Source organism: Homo sapiens, chromosome 2, assembly GCF_000001405.40.
Source record: "Homo sapiens chromosome 2, GRCh38.p14 Primary Assembly".
Classification (NCBI taxonomy): Eukaryota; Metazoa; Chordata; class Mammalia; order Primates; family Hominidae; genus Homo; species Homo sapiens.
In genome coordinates this window covers 200,473,422-200,488,636 of record NC_000002.12, presented here as the reverse complement: position 1 = coordinate 200,488,636, position 15,215 = coordinate 200,473,422, and the positions used below count along the sequence as shown (strand labels likewise).

Below are 15,215 nucleotides of genomic sequence, written 5' to 3'. Positions count from 1 at the left end.
TTTTCAGAACTACCAATGTGGACATTATTAGTATTGCTTGATTTAGGACATTTTGAGTTGCTGGACAGGAAACATGTTGACAATTAATCATGGGTGATTCCGTTGACATCCTCCATTTCTTTGCATCAAGTAGTTTAAGGGAAATCCATTTAGCACACTTAGTCTTTGTAAGAGGAGTGACTTTGGATAACTACTGAAGGCCGGGGCAGCTGCGATAGGGAAGGGGAAGATGCACCCTTATGGATATCAGGAGTCAAAGTCAAATTCAGCATGCTCGAGTAACATAAACATTACTTGGGTGTGGTTCCCTGGGGGCTAGCTTCACTTTACATGGAAAAACATTTTTCTTAATACCAGACTGTGCAAACCCTAAAAGAGTTGGTAATTCATCATAACCCATTGGTCTTCCTGGAAGAAAAAAAATGAAAGCTTTATAAATAGTGATTTGAGAAGTAGGTTTATACAGTTGGATCAGGAGACATTTAGAAATACTTAATGATAAGTAGGATATTTAAGTATTGTTCGTATATTTAAAAAAAGTTTAGTGACTATACCCTTTCACATAATCTGTGTTGAAAACAGGTTTGCCCTGATTAAAACTGGTTAGTTGTTTCATGGATAGCCTAAGGCTGGCAGTGGAGACCTAATGAAGGATTTGTTTTGTTAATAATGCCTTATGTTAGAATTTAGGAAGTATTTTCACATATGTGATTTCATTGCTTTTTATATTTCTTTCAAATTTTTCAAATTTTTAATTTTTGTAGTGATAGGTTCTTGCTCTGTCGCCCAGGCTAGAATGCAGTGGCACGATCTTGGATTACTGCAGCCTCCAACTCCTGGGCTCAAGCAATCCTCCTGCCTCAGCCTCCGGAGTAACTTGCTGGGACTACAGGCATGCACTCCATACCCGGCTAATTAAAAAAATTTTTTTTGTAAAGATGAGGTCTCACTATGTTGCCCAGGGTGGTCTCAAACTCCTGGCTTCAAGCCATCCTCCCACCTTGGTCTCCCAAAGTGTTGAGATTAAAGACAAAGAAAATGAGTTTCAGAAAAGTTAAGGCTACACAATAGGGAATGTACACATTTTAGCCCCATTATCTGATTTCTGCAGAACCACACAGCATCACTGAAAAGCTAGAGGGAGGAAGTAAATGTAAGTGTGAATTTCCTCAATATTTGAAGTTTTTGAGCAGGAAAATATTAGATTATGTGTCTCCTACTAAACAGGGACTGTTGTTTCTGTCCCTCTAGAGTCTGGTACACAGCAGGCCTTTAATAAATTTCTGAACAGTTGAGGGCCACCTCCTGTCTCCAAATTATTTTAGAAAATGTATCTGATAGCAATATTCAGAGGGTATGGAAACTGCTTTTTGATCTTGCAGAGTTTATACTGTCAGGGGAACAAAGGAGGTGCTTTTGAAAGTTCCTTGATACAGTGAATATTGCTGATGACCACAATTACTATTGGTAATGACCATAACAGTTACATAACTTGTCGAGTTGTTTGAAGTAATTTAGAAATATGTATCACCAGATCCCAGAGAGGTCCGTGGCTGATGCTTCCTGACTTTCCAGAGAGGAAGGCAGAGGTCTGGCCTCCCTGCTCCTAATTCAGTACATCTCCTGTGCTGATGTAAGTTCTTTTTCATTCACAGACTGAATCCCATTGCTTCCTTAGCAAGTGCTAACATTAAAAAAAAAATTGTCGATTCACTTTCCAGTCCATGGTTAAATACAGTATAATGACTGACCAGCTGTATCTTGACTTTTACAGCAGGAATTAACATATAAGCGTGTTTGGCTATACCTGAGAAATTGTTCATAGAAAACCTTTGATTTAAACACATTTTGAATGTGCACAAGGCCTGTGGTGGCAAGTTGTTCGGTAAAGGGAAGAATGCTGACATTTATATGAGTATGAGATCATCTTAGATAGGATTATCTTACATCTGCAGGCCCTTTAATAGCTTTGATCTGTATTTGGTAGGATGTTGGTTGGAGACTAAATAGAAAGTATGAACTTGGTAAAACATAGGGAAAGAGCTTCTATTATAGCAAATGAAAAGTATTTTCAAATGACTTACATGTGTGTATTTGAAAGTAACCAGGAACTTTTTAATTATGAAAAATTCTGTCTTTTCCATATGCTGAAACTCTTCCTTGAAAACTATCAACAAGTTGCTGATTCCCCAGTCAGGAAACAGTGAGTGGATGAGTGGTTCTTTGTTGAGGGCAGCAGTTAGTATGCAGGGTTTCGAGCGTGTAGGACCCAAAAAAAGAAACATCATAAATAGCTAACAGGAAAAAAAAAAATTGCTTTCCAGCTCTTTCCGGAATTTCATATTTCAATTTGATTGGTGGTGCAGTCTCAAAGCGACCATTTTCACTTATATTCTTGTCAGCCTCATAAGAGATACGTGGTTTACATTGTTAGAGAAAAGCTAATTTTTCTTTGTTCACATGTGTTGCCTCAGACAGCCCATCCATGTTTTATATTTGCTAGCTAAATGGCTTCTGATGTAGGCTGTGGCTAAGACAGATAGAATTTTACGCTAACTGTCAGTCAGTATTCTGCCCTGCTTGTTTATTTAGCAGCTTTTCATTTTATCATGTTGTTTCTCATGCTTTTCGTTTGCTTCTTCCACCCTAAAACCCTCATTGCCTTAGTAAAATTCTGCTGAGCTCCAGGTATGAAATGGGGGGCCTGGGGCTTAGAAGAGAAACTTGTTTCAAACAGACAGCATGTTTGAATGTTGTTTCAAACAAACATCATTAGAATATTTGCTAATGATGGGAAAAGGCAAACTGCCTTCTGCCAAGATTTCTTAAAATTTTGAATAGTTTTGTTTCAATAGCAGCTCTTTCAAGAATCTATTCTCTAATTTCTTGATGTGGAAGACCTGGGGATTCAGTTTCTATGTATGTGACACTAGTAGTCCAGGGACATCAGAAATTGTACATTTAGACCCAGCTAATCTACCAAAAATTTGTATTTTTAGTAGAGACAGGTTTCGCCATGCTGGCCAGGCTGATCTTGAACTCCTGACCTCAGGTGATCCACCCACCTCGTCCTCCCAAAGTTCAGACAGTCTGGAGTTGGTCACCGAGGCTGAACCAGCCAAGAACCCAGCATAGCTGGAGGAATCAGGGAAACATGTCCTGGCTCATCTACTCAACTTTTGTCCCCTTTCTCCAAACCCCTGAACCCTCTAGATCAGGGTTTCTCAACAGTGGCTTTATCGACATTTTAGACCAAATAATTCTTTATTGTTAGGATTATACTGTGCATTACAAGATGTTGAGCAGCATCCCTGGCTAGCACTCCTGCCCCAGTCGTGACAATCAGAAATATCTCCAGACCCATCCAAATGTCCCCTGGGGTCAGGGGGTGCATCGATTATCTCCAGTTGAGAACCATTGCTCTAACTGGGTGACTTAACTTGAGCAGATTAACTGCCTCTCCTAACTGGGGGCTGTGGATCAGTAAGAAAACATTGCAGCTGTCAATCACAGGCAGGAGTAGAGCCATGGGAATTGAGGGGGAGGGTGATTCAGAAGGAAGGATGTCTCAGGCCTGCTGATTTAAAAAACCCATCCTTTAAGCTCCCAGTTACATTTCTGGTTTTGGCATAAAATTTGAAATATTTTCGTTTGCTGTTCTGACCAAGCAACTACCTAATAAAAGCTAATATGTGCTCTTCTAATTGTTTATAAACTTATTTAATACACTAACCCTATGACGCAGGTCGGTATTATTATCATCCCCATTTTACAGATGGAGAAACTGAAGCACAGAGGGGTTAGATGAGCTGCCTAACTGCTAGCAGAAGGCAAAGCTAGGATTCACATCCATGTCATCTTACTCCAGAGTCCAGGCCCCTAAGCACAACGCTAGGTCTGCTCTTATAGGAGCTTGTTACTCCCATTCCCAGAGATGAGCTAGATAGGATTAAAGTCTTCTGTATGCTGCATAGCTATTTATTCTATGGATCAAACACTTTTTTTTTTTTGAGACAGTCTCACTCTGTCGCCCAGGCTGGAGTGCAGTGGCGCAATCTTGGCTCACTGCAACCTCCGCCTCATGGGTTCAAGCGATTCTCCTGCCTCAGCCTCCCAAGTAGCTGGGATCACTGGGGCCCGCCACCACACCCAGCTAATTTTTGTATTTTTAGTAGAGACAGGTTTCGCCATGCTGGCCAGGCTGATCTTGAACTCCTGACCTCAGGTGATCCACCCACCTCGTCCTCCCAAAGTGCTGGGATTACAGGCATGAGCCACCATACCTGGCCTGATCAAATATTCTTATAGCACTTACTAAGGATGTGTTGTTTATCAATTCATTGCCTCTTGCTTCCAAATCCACTCTTTATTGTGCTGCTTGTGATACTAGAGCTGGACCCTGCAAACACTTCTCTCTCACCAGCTGGCATGATGTTAAGCTTTGTCACTGGTGGGACACTGCAGAAGGGCCCTTTTCTTCCAGGTTCAGGGTGCATCCCGGGTCTTGCTGCTGCAGTGCTTGGTCCCAGTGTGGAATATCCAGTGGCTTTCACCCTCAGCAAGCACTGCCTTGTGCAGCTTCCTGTTGGGTGGGTCTCCCTGCTGGCTCCACAGACAATTCAACAACACCCCTGTGTGTGGTTTCCAGGTGAGTTTTGCTGGTGTTCCAGCTGGAGTCCCAGCAGGTTTAATGGCATCCCTGCAGGTGTATTCCTGGTGAATCTGAGTGGCTTCCAGCTTGCCAGCCCCAGCTTGCAACACCTCAGCGAGCTGCTCCGCCCTCCAGTGGCCACAGCTGCACCCTCTCCAACAAGGCCGAATGTCAGCCTTGAGGGTGGGGCAAGCTCTTTCAAGCTTATTCCTTTCTTGGGTACTCTGTCTCACCTCTAGTAGTGACTAGTCCCTGTATCAGCTATTCCTGTTGTCTTCAGAGTTCTTACCCTTTAGTAGCTAATCTCCCGTTACTAGTTATTTCTGTCGATCTATCTTCCCCATATACATTGATAAAGCTTCCCCGGCAAATTACTCTGTGGTTACTGTCTCCTGCCTGGAATCTATATAAAGTGCCAGGCATTATTCCAAATGCTTTGCAAATATTAACTATTCAATCCTCGTAACAACTCTGTGAAGTAGCTCCAGTTACCTGCCCCATTCACCCATGGAGAAAACCAAGGTAAGGAGATGTTGAGAAATGTACCCTGGTTTACACAGACAGGAGGTGGTGGAGCTAGCGCTTGAATCCAGACAGGTGGCTTTGAGGGTGGGTTACTTCAGCTGCTCTGCTCTCTCCTCCTATTTTCTCTAGGATTGTTTTACTGGGTTACTTTGCACAAGTCATTTAGACTCCAGAATTTTCTGGAGATATTGGAGTTGGTCACCTATTCATATCTTCTCTCTCTTTCAATCAGTGTTCATCAAGTGCCTACTATACGTCAGGTGTTGGCAGAGGAGTAATGATGTTATTGGCTGACTTGTTACACAATGATGGTAATTTACAGAAGGTGGGTTCTTTCAAAGGACTAGGAACAATTAAATCAAATTCAAATCTAAGTATCTGAAGTTAAAAACAGGACAGCTGGGCGTGGTGGTTCAAGCCTGTAATCCCAGCACTTTGGGAGGCCAAGGTGGGCAGATTGCCTGAGCTCAGCAGTTCAAGACCAGCCTGGACACCATGGCGAAACCCCATCTCTACTGAAAATACAAAAATTAGTCAGGTGCGGTGGTATGCATCTCTAGTCCCGGCTACTTGGGAGGCTGAGGCTGGAGAATCGCTTGAGCCCAGGAGCTGGAGGCTGCAGTGAGCTGTGATTGCACCACTGCACTCCAGCCTGGGTTACAGAATAAAATCCTATCTCACACACACACACACAAAAAAAAAAAAAAGAAAAAAAAAAGGATACTTTTTTTTTTTTTTGACAGGGAGCACTTTTTACACTGCTATTTTCTGTAGAAGTTCTTTGGCCATTGTCACAGTCATGCTTCTGAACCATTTTTTTTTTTTTTTTTTTTTTTTTGCCAGAAGTCTACATAATTTCTCAGACAAATTTGCTTTGGAATATACTCATTATTCTGCAAAAGTTGTTTGTGGCAATTCTTCCTATGAAACTGGAACTTAGTGGCAGCCCCAGAAGCTCCTCTGAGCTGTGGGAAAAAACAGAGTTCTCAGACAAAGGGACTTCTGATAATTAATCATTAATGTGTAAGAACCTTGAATGATGAGAGCAGCATTGTGTATTTCTCAGATAGACTAGATTCAGACCAGAGTGCCTTTGCCTGCAGGGCTGCTATAATGAGATTAAACACTGGCTTGGCCAGCTGAGCAGCCTCCCAGGACTGGGGACCTGGTTCTTTGAAACTAAGAATAAACACAAAACTTTGTTAGAATTTATTAAAGAAGCAAAAAGATTTTAAAATCCTTATAATGGATTGTAAAGAATAGTATTTAAATTACATTTCAAATTCTTAGCTAAGTAACAAGAGAATCACTGGGACTTTGCAACTCTTCATAATTTTCTCACAAAATCAGAGCAATTGAGATGGCTCAGTACTTTCAAGGAAATGCTGGAACAATGTATTAGGCGAACTGCTTTTTTTCCTTTTTTTTTGGTCTTTTGCTATTTTATAGTTTGCTTAAGAAACTTAAGAACAAGTGACTGGGGCCGGGCGCAGTGGCTCACCCCTGTAATCCCAGCACTTTGGGAGGCCGAGGGGGGTGGATCACGAGGTCAGGAGATCAAAACCATCCTGGCTAACACGGTGAAACCCTGTATCTACTAAAAATACAAAAAATTAGCCAGGTGTGGTGGCGGGTGCCTGTAGTCCCAGCTACTCGGGAGGCTGAGGCAGGAGAATGGCGTGAACCCGGGAGGCGGAGCTTGCAGTGAGCCGAGACCGCGCCACTGCACTCCAGCCTGGGCGACAGAGCGAGACTCCATCTCAAAAAACGCGTACAGCAAAAAAGGGTGCCGTTACATAGGTCATTGGATGCTATCACTGGAATGTCTGTTGAGAAATAAACGTTTTACCATCTGTAGACACATGAGGGCGCTTTAAGCAGGCAGCGTGGGATGCAGCGTGCAAAGGGAGGGAGGGAGGAAGAAAGCTTTGTCAAAGGTAGCCTGAAATTCAGGCATCTCCCTATCTGGTTGCGGACCTGTGCCTGCGTCGGGGTGGGGAGCACCGAATCGATTTAGGAAAAGAACTGCGCAGGCCCTTGATCCCCACTTCTCATGGTGAAATCAAGTTTGAGGTTCAAATCAAGGCTTTCAGAGAGTCAGAATTTCCAAATCTGTTACTTTGTCAAAAAACTGCTTTTAATCTGGTAACGTTTCCCATTAACCTCATTTGATGTCCTTCCCTAAGAATGTTTAATTAGAATCTCCTTTTCTGATGCCAGCAGAATTGAACTGCTTGTGAACTGAGCTTTAAATTGGACATGTTGTGTTTCTAGTCCTCCACTGAGGGTGAATTTTGCAGCAATTTGCGTTTAACTTTCTGTGTCTTGCTGCATTAAGCACTTCTAGAATAGGATCAACAGGACAGAGCTGGAGTATGCAGAGATTCTCAAAAGAAATGTAAATTTGGAATGTAATTGGGAACCCAACAGGGAGGTGTGGATTTCACGGATGAAGTCTTGGTGGAAGATCTAAGTGCCACAATGTGAGTTTGAAGTTATTCCATCTTCATAAGGATTAAACTATTTTAACCTCTACTAGGCAAATGTTTAAGAGAATAATCTGACTACTGTGCATTAAGTAGAGAGATTAGAGTTTAAAACACTTTAAATGAATGGCAGAATAGGACTCAGTTCTCTAGGATCACACCAATAGTTCCACCAGACAGATGAAGATATGTAATACAGTGTTTAAGCGGCCTGACATTGGCACTAAAATATTGAAATTACTGTTTCAAAAATGCAAACTAATAAATGCTTACATGCCCAGGGTCTATAAGAAAGGCAAAAACCAGCCAGGCGAGGTGGCTCATGCCTGTAATTCTAACACTTTGGGAGGCCAAAGCAGGAAGATCACTTGAGCTCCGGAGTTCGAGACCAGTCTGGGCACCATAGTGAGACCTCGTTTCTACTAAAAATTTAAAAAGTAGCTGGGACGTTGTGGTGCACACCTGTAGTCCTCGCAACTTGGGAGGCTGAGGATGGCTTGAGCCCAGGAGTTCAAGGCTATAGTGAGCCATGATCATGCACTCCAGCCTAGGTGATAGAGCAAGACCCTGTCTCAAAAACATGCACTCCAGCCTAGGTGATAGAGCAAGACCCTGTCTCAAAAAAAAAAAAAAAAAGGAAAAAATATTGGAAAAAATGTGATCAGGTCTGAGCACTTTTTAGCATTCTTTTGTTTCTTTTCAGTGACATGGGAGTGTTTGCTCTGTGCTCAGGAATGTGTTTGGGCTTTCTTAACCCTAAGGGAGTGAGTCGAGGTCAAGAGTGGTTGGGTTCAACTCTGACAAAGGCAGGTGAACTCCTGACCTGGCAAATTCATTTTTTTCCCTGTTCCAAGAATTACTTGACTCATCTTTAAAGCGGTCACATTTACACTGACATTTTTCAGTGGTGAGCAAAATCTTGCTACATAAAAAACTGTGCAAAATCCTTCCGTCTTGTAATATATGAATTCAGGGCCTCAGATGGGGTAAACAGGGCCTACAGTGCCGAACATTTATCTTTCTTATTTGAACGAACAACTCTTCCTTCCTTCCTGGAATGTGACTTAACGTTAAGAATTTCTATTAAATCTCTGGGTACACCCAGAGACCTCAGAAAGCTCTCTACAGAGAGAGCAAACATCCTCCTGTACTTGGCAAAAGAAGAAACAGATGCTTGCGTGGCTTGCAGGCTCAGCTGCTCAGGGCCGCTCTGTGGAAGAGAACCAGTGAACCTGGGTTGCCAGAAAAAATGTTAATGTTGAGTTGAGAATAAGCATTTGCACTTGTGAGTAGTCAACAGATATGTAGGACATGTGAGTGCAACGGAAGCGGCACCCAAACTGGACTGCCCTGTAGTCAAAGTTAGGGGAACTGGGGCTATTTTGGGTTTGGGCCATTGGGTATCCATTTTCCCTTTCTGAGAAGTACCCCTTCTCCATCTAGCTCAGGAACTCTGGGAAGATGGCCACACCCAGGCTCCAGGGGTGGGCTCTAATTAGTCTATGCAAATTAGTTCATCCCATTCACTTCTCTCCCCCCTTTCATGATTGGTTTAAGAGACAGGCCTACCAGCAATGGTATGCAAGACCTTTGCTGGGATTTCTGAGAAAGACACTTGCTCTGTGTAGAAGCTACTAGGATAACTTCTCTCCTCTGGACAGTGTGGAAAATAGACTTGAGTCTTAAGAGCATGGTGGCCCTTTGCCACAATTCTGAATGCAATGTCAACCCAAGGAGGAAAGGAGAGCTAAGATAATTAAGAGATGGGAGCTGGCCGGGTACGGTGGCTCATGCCTGTAATTCCGGCAGTTTCGGAGGCCAAAGCAGGTGGATCACCTGAGGTCAGGGGTTTGAGACCAGCCTGGACAACATGGTGAAATCCTGTCTGTACTAATAATATAAAAATTAGCAGGGCGTGGTGGCACATGCCTGTAATCCCAGCTACTCGGAAGGCCGGGCAGGAGAATGGCTTGAACCCAGGAGGCGGAGGTTGCAGTGAGCCGAGATCATGCCATTGCACTCCACCTGGGTGACAAAGCAAGACTGTCTCAAAAAAAGAAAAAGAAAAAAGAAAAAAAAAAAAGAGATGGGAGCTGAAATCCTGATCAAATTGGACCAACTGGACTTTTCACTCACTGAACCAATAAATTCTTATTGTTGAAGCTAGGCTCAGCTGAGGTTTGTAGTACTTGCAACCAATGTTTCCAACTGCCCAACTGCCACATGGTGTGTCTAAGATGATCAGGGTGCATATCCATCTATTTGTGTAATCTAATTGAAAGGGCATATATATATTTTCCTGAAAGAGTACTTGTCTCAACAGAAACAGTATTTATTGTACACAGCTTTGCACCACAACCTCTAGTCTCTAAAGTTTTTTTTGAAAGCACTAAACAGTACATTCAATAACTAGGTGGGTATCAATAAAAGAAACTAGCCAGGTGTCAAATGCAGCATATTTTAATTTGTTTCAAATAAAGCAATATATGTATATATATTTTTTCAGAAAAACACCAGATGTTAAATTCTACAAAAGCGCATGTGTCCTCAGCAGATCATGTTTGTCTGATTATTAAGAATTCTTTTTTGTAACATTAACTCTCTAAAGACAATCAATGGACTGACATCACTGCTACAACACAGGTTGCTAACTGAGCCTCTGATCTTCAGCCACATCTTGATTTTCCTAATAATGAGTAAATACTGCCTGGCTAAAATGCTGCAAAGTCTTGATGAGAGAAAGCATCAACAGATCAAGCAAAGCCATGAAAATTATGAAGCAAGCTAGAGCTGATTATTAGAATTAGTAAAAATGATTAAGAGAGGATGACACAACCATACGGGATTTGTATATTCTGATTGACACTCTTTTGGCAGCGAATTGGGTCAGCACCTCGGGCAGGGAACCAAAACTGAGTGAAAACTGCTCTTTTTCCTCCTAGCTCAGGCCACCAACGTCACAGCCGGGACTGAGAGAACTGCTGCATCTGTGGAAACTTCTATTCTCGTGGGGCAGAGATTGCACTGTGAAACCCTACCGACACTACCCCGGAAGGGCCTGGCCTCCGAGGTGTCTGCAGCGTGCTGCCTTCGCCGGGGCTTTTCAGAATGGGCCGGGGCCTCGGGGGTCTTCATCCCCAAGGAAGCCTCTTGATTTTTGGCACCGCCTTTGTTTTTGGGCCGGAAGCCGTTGTGCGGCTGTCTTCTGTGTTCGTGGCGGCTGTTGCCCTTTCCCAGTGGCTCGGCTTCATTCCCACTGCCCTGCGACTTGGCAGGCCCATTTAGCCTGTTGTTATGATACTGTGGATTAAATCTCCGTCTTTGGTTAGAAGATCCATTCTACCAAAAAAGAAAAGAGATAAGTATCAGATGCCAGCAAGCCACTGATGACACCAGTAGACATCAGGAAAACCAAATCTCTAAGCCACAGGTAAGCTTTTTTTTTTTTTTTTTTTTTTTATACACCAGAAGAATCAGAAAACATGAAGATGAGGTCAGGCAGATAAAATTATTAATCCTAAAAGAATAGTGGACTGTTTTGTAAATGGAACTGGAAGAAAATGATATTGAAAGAGAGGTTACAGAAGTGTAAGACAGACAATTCAAAAACTGGGTCAAATAAAATTCATAAAGATGCTTAAACTATAGCAGAATAAAACAGAAGCCAGGGGCAGAGTAATGATGATCCTCTACTATGGAGATTTCTGAGACATTCTGTAGAGACTGAGAGGGACAGGAGGCACAGAAATTGTACACAGAAAAAGGGCAGGGTCCCTGGCCAAGACCCACTCTCAAGCCCAAAGTGAGAACTTTACATTCCTGTTTTCCTGCTCAAATATTGCCTTTTCCAAAACCACCCCTGGCCTACCCCACCCCGTATCCTGTACCCATAAAAATCCCAGGCTCCACTGGCACAGAGCAGAGAAGAGGAGAAGCAGCTGCACGTCGGAGACTGCAGTCTGAGTCGGAGAGCAGCAGCTTGACTTTAGCGGGACTGCTTGATGGCAGTACTTCAGGGGAAGAATACGTTCCCACTCCATCCCCATTTTCCAGCTCTCTCCCTCCTGCTGAGAGCCACTTTCAATGGCAATAAAATCCCCCGCGTTTACTATCCTTCAATTTGTTCATATGACCTGATTTTTCATGGATGCTGGACAAGAGCTCAGGATACAGAAAAGTGTCACATTGACCCTCTGCCTTCATGAAAAAGTAGAAGGTCTATTGAGCTGTTAAATACTTAAGCCGTCCTTGGACTGCAAAGCTAAAAGAGCATTGTAACGCATGCCCTCTGGGGCTCCAGGGGTCATGGGTACTACCCTAGGCACTGCTGTGGGACTGCATGGAGTTTTGATCCTGCCGGTGGCCAAAAGTGCTTGCTCTAGCTCCTGCACCTGCTCACCTGCATGCTCTCCCTCCCCCGAGGGGTTCAGAGCTTCAGGCTGAGAAAGTGAGGCACCCCTGTTGCAAGGCCTGTGAAGGGGTCAAGGAAAATTTCCTGTTCAAAACCATGCATAGGAATTCTAATTACGTAAGTGAAGAAAAAGTAAAATTCTGTAACTTTTCTTCTCTAAAGTAGCTTTTCTAATTTATTCCAAAACAAATATCTTTATAGTTCAGAAATATTATCTTGGACAAATATAGGGGTGAAGTGTATCTGGCAGGTCTTGGTGGCATGCAGAAATAAGGTGTATTTTCACAGAGGTAATTCATTGTTTTTCTAAACTTTCTGCAGTTATAAGCAAAGAAAATTTGAAGCCTCTATTAAAAAATCATTCCTTCAACACATCACTGACCAGGAACGTAAATGGATGAGCAGTAAGGACGCAATGGATTAAGCTCCTTTACAAGGGAAAGATTTCTGAACTCCTCAAGGTCAGTAATAGCCAACACTCATTGAGTGCTTACCATGCACTGAATGGGGTTTCTCACCATGCACTACCTCATTTAACATCAGAATCACCCTTTAAGTTAGTTGCTATTATGTGCTTCGTTTTATAGATGAGGATAAGGAGTTTCAGGGACTTGCCCAAGGTCTATCTACAGTTGGGAAATGGTGGAGCTATTCCCGCTTTATATACTATCTCCTGACAAGACTCTTAAGTTGTAACATAAACATAAACCTTTTTTGAAAATCAAACCTCTTAAGAAAACATGAAATTTTATGAGTTACAAATATATAAGGTTCTTCATTTGTGCACTGTGACTGGATGGTATAGGTTTAGGGCAGACCAACCCCCAATAATTCAGAGCCTAGAGCAAGAGTACAAATGTAGGTCCATACATCTGTTAAAGGAAAATAAATCTTGGGGCCCCCAAATCACTAAGCTGAAGGGAAAAGTCAAGCTGGGAACTGCTTAGGGCAAACCTGGCTCCCATTCTATTCAAAGTCACCCCTCTGCTCACTGAGATAAATGCATATCTGACTGTCTCATTTGGAGAGGCTAATCAGAAACTCAAAAGAATACAACCATCTGTCTTTTATCTGCCTAAGACCTGGAAGCCCCCTCCTCGCTCCCAGTTGTCCGCCTTTGCCTCCAGTAGTCCCACCTTTCTGGACTGAACTGATATTCACCTTACACAAATGGATTGATGTCTCATGTCTCCCTAAAATGTACAAAACCAAGCTGTGCCCCACCACCTTGGGCACATGTCATCAGACCTTCTGAGGCTGTGTCACGGGTGCACGTCCTCAACCTTGGCAAAATAAACTTTCTAAGTTATCTGAGACCTGTCTCAGATTTTTGGGGTTCACACACCATATGTCTGAATACTGTCTTTTCCTATCTCTGGCTCCATCCCACATTGTAAGGGGCCTTGCACACACAAATGTGGACATTCCAGCCTGCACACCTAAGCATCGCCTCCACTCCCACCCTTCCAGCGGATGGGTGTGAAAACTGGCAGTGTTGTTCATCTTCAAGATGATGTATACAGGAAAGTGGTCCAGGCAGATCCTGTGAGCAGGCTTGGGCCCACTTGGGAAGAGTAACCCAGGATCTCGAGTACTGACTGGCAGCATGCTTCAGAACAAAGAGTGTAGATTCCAGTGGCCCTGTCTCCTTGGTCTCTCTGATTCCTTACTCTGTAGAGAGGGCCATGGCTGCGGGAGGGTCAAGAAGTTACTTGAAAACACAGGGCCCGGTCCAAGGGCCATTCTTGCCTGGGTCTACAGTGTTCTGACTTAGATATTTGAGTGGATTTCAACTTAAATGAGCCATTACCTAAACTGCTAAACCAGAGAACTGAAGAAGTATCTACATAGATAGTACTTAATCTGGCCTCCTTTGTTTTTAAAGAAATTATGAAAAAGGGAAACTCTTAGACTAAATTTTAGACTTAATTATCAGCATGGTATTTAATAATGAACAGAGAGGCCAGGCATGGTGGCTCATGCCTGTAATCTCAGCACTTTGGGAGGCTGAAGCAGGTGGATCGCTTGAGCCCAGGAATTTGACAGCAACATGACAAAACCCCATCTCTACAAAAATTATACAAAAAAATTTAGTCAGGCGTGGTGGCACGTGCCTGTAGTCCCAGCTACCCTGCAGGCTGAGCCTGGTGGATTGTTTGAGCCCAGGAGGTTGAGGCTGCAGTGGGCCGAGATTGTGCCAAAAAAAAGAAAAAAAAAAGAACAAAAACTGTGAAGATATATTTAGACTACAAGTAAAAACAGATTTGATTATGATCTTTAACTAATGAGATTATAACATGCTCCTTGTCAAAGTGCTATCTTAAAGCTCATGAAGACTTCAGGGCCTGAGAAAACACCTGTCAATATCATTAATAAGAATTCTCAAAGGCTGAGACAGCAAAACCCAACAAGACACCTGTTAGAAAACCACCATTTTTAAAGTCTTACAAAAAAAAAAAAGAAAAGACTTTTTCTTGGAGATGATAAAAGGTATCTTAGGTATCTTTATAGCATGCCCAACTTCTATATCATCAGATCCTTTATTTTTATTTTTATTTTTTTTTGAGATGGAGTCTCACTCTGTTGCCCAGGCTGAAGGGCAGTGGTGCGATCTTGGCTCACTGAAACCTCCGCCTCCCGGGTTCAAGCAATTCTCCTGCCTCAGCCTCCCGAGTAACTGGGATTACAGGCACCCGCCACCATGCCTGGCTAAATTTTGTGTTTTTAGTAGAGACAGGGTTTCACCATGTTGGTCAGGCTGGTCTCAAACTCCTGACCTCAAGTGATCTGCCCACCTTGGCCTCCCAAAGTGCTGGGATTATAGGAGTGAGCCATTGCATCCGGCAGATCCCAATTTTTTGTTAATTCTCTAAGGATAAGGGGGAAATCACCTCCAAAAGATATAGTGGAGAAGCAGAAGGAGAGAAGGAAGATGGTTCTTTGGACACTTGTGTCTTTAGACATCATAATAGATAAGAATGAAGAATGCCATTTTGAAATGTATTCTCCTTACTGAAATCCCAAGAGAAGAGAAGACTGCACTAACTTTAGCCTCTTATTGATCAGCTAAACATAAATGGGGATTAAAATATCTTAAAAAACAAATGCCAGATTTCCTCTCATTAGTAGTTTAGTAGGTTCC

The 15,215-nt window shown here is 42.9% G+C and overlaps 1 protein-coding gene and 1 long non-coding RNA gene across 18 annotated transcripts in view; one reads left to right on the top strand and one right to left on the bottom strand.

Annotated features, from left to right (window-relative positions):
• Positions 1 to 6,372: 6,372 nt before the first annotated feature.
• Positions 6,373 to 15,215, bottom strand: part of SPATS2L (spermatogenesis associated serine rich 2 like) — a 176,386-nt gene continuing 167,543 nt past the window's right edge. For 11 of the 15 annotated variants that reach the window (NM_015535.3, XM_024452788.2, XM_011510938.2 and 8 more), the window contains one exon: positions 6,373 to 11,001. In NM_015535.3, the coding sequence (NP_056350.2) occupies positions 10,606 to 11,001 (396 nt within the window). In that variant the 3' untranslated portion in view covers positions 6,373 to 10,605. The remainder of the gene's footprint in view (positions 11,002 to 15,215) is intronic. The other 4 variants (NM_001282735.1, NM_001282743.1, NM_001100422.1 and 1 more) reach the window with 1 other exon arrangement.
• LOC101927741 (uncharacterized) overlaps positions 10,664 to 15,215 on the top strand; it is an 81,319-nt gene continuing 76,767 nt past the window's right edge. For all 3 annotated transcript variants that reach the window (XR_007088047.1, XR_001739167.2, XR_001739165.3), the window contains exons 1-2: positions 10,664 to 11,092; positions 12,395 to 12,534. This is a non-coding gene — a long non-coding RNA (uncharacterized LOC101927741). The remainder of the gene's footprint in view (positions 11,093 to 12,394; positions 12,535 to 15,215) is intronic.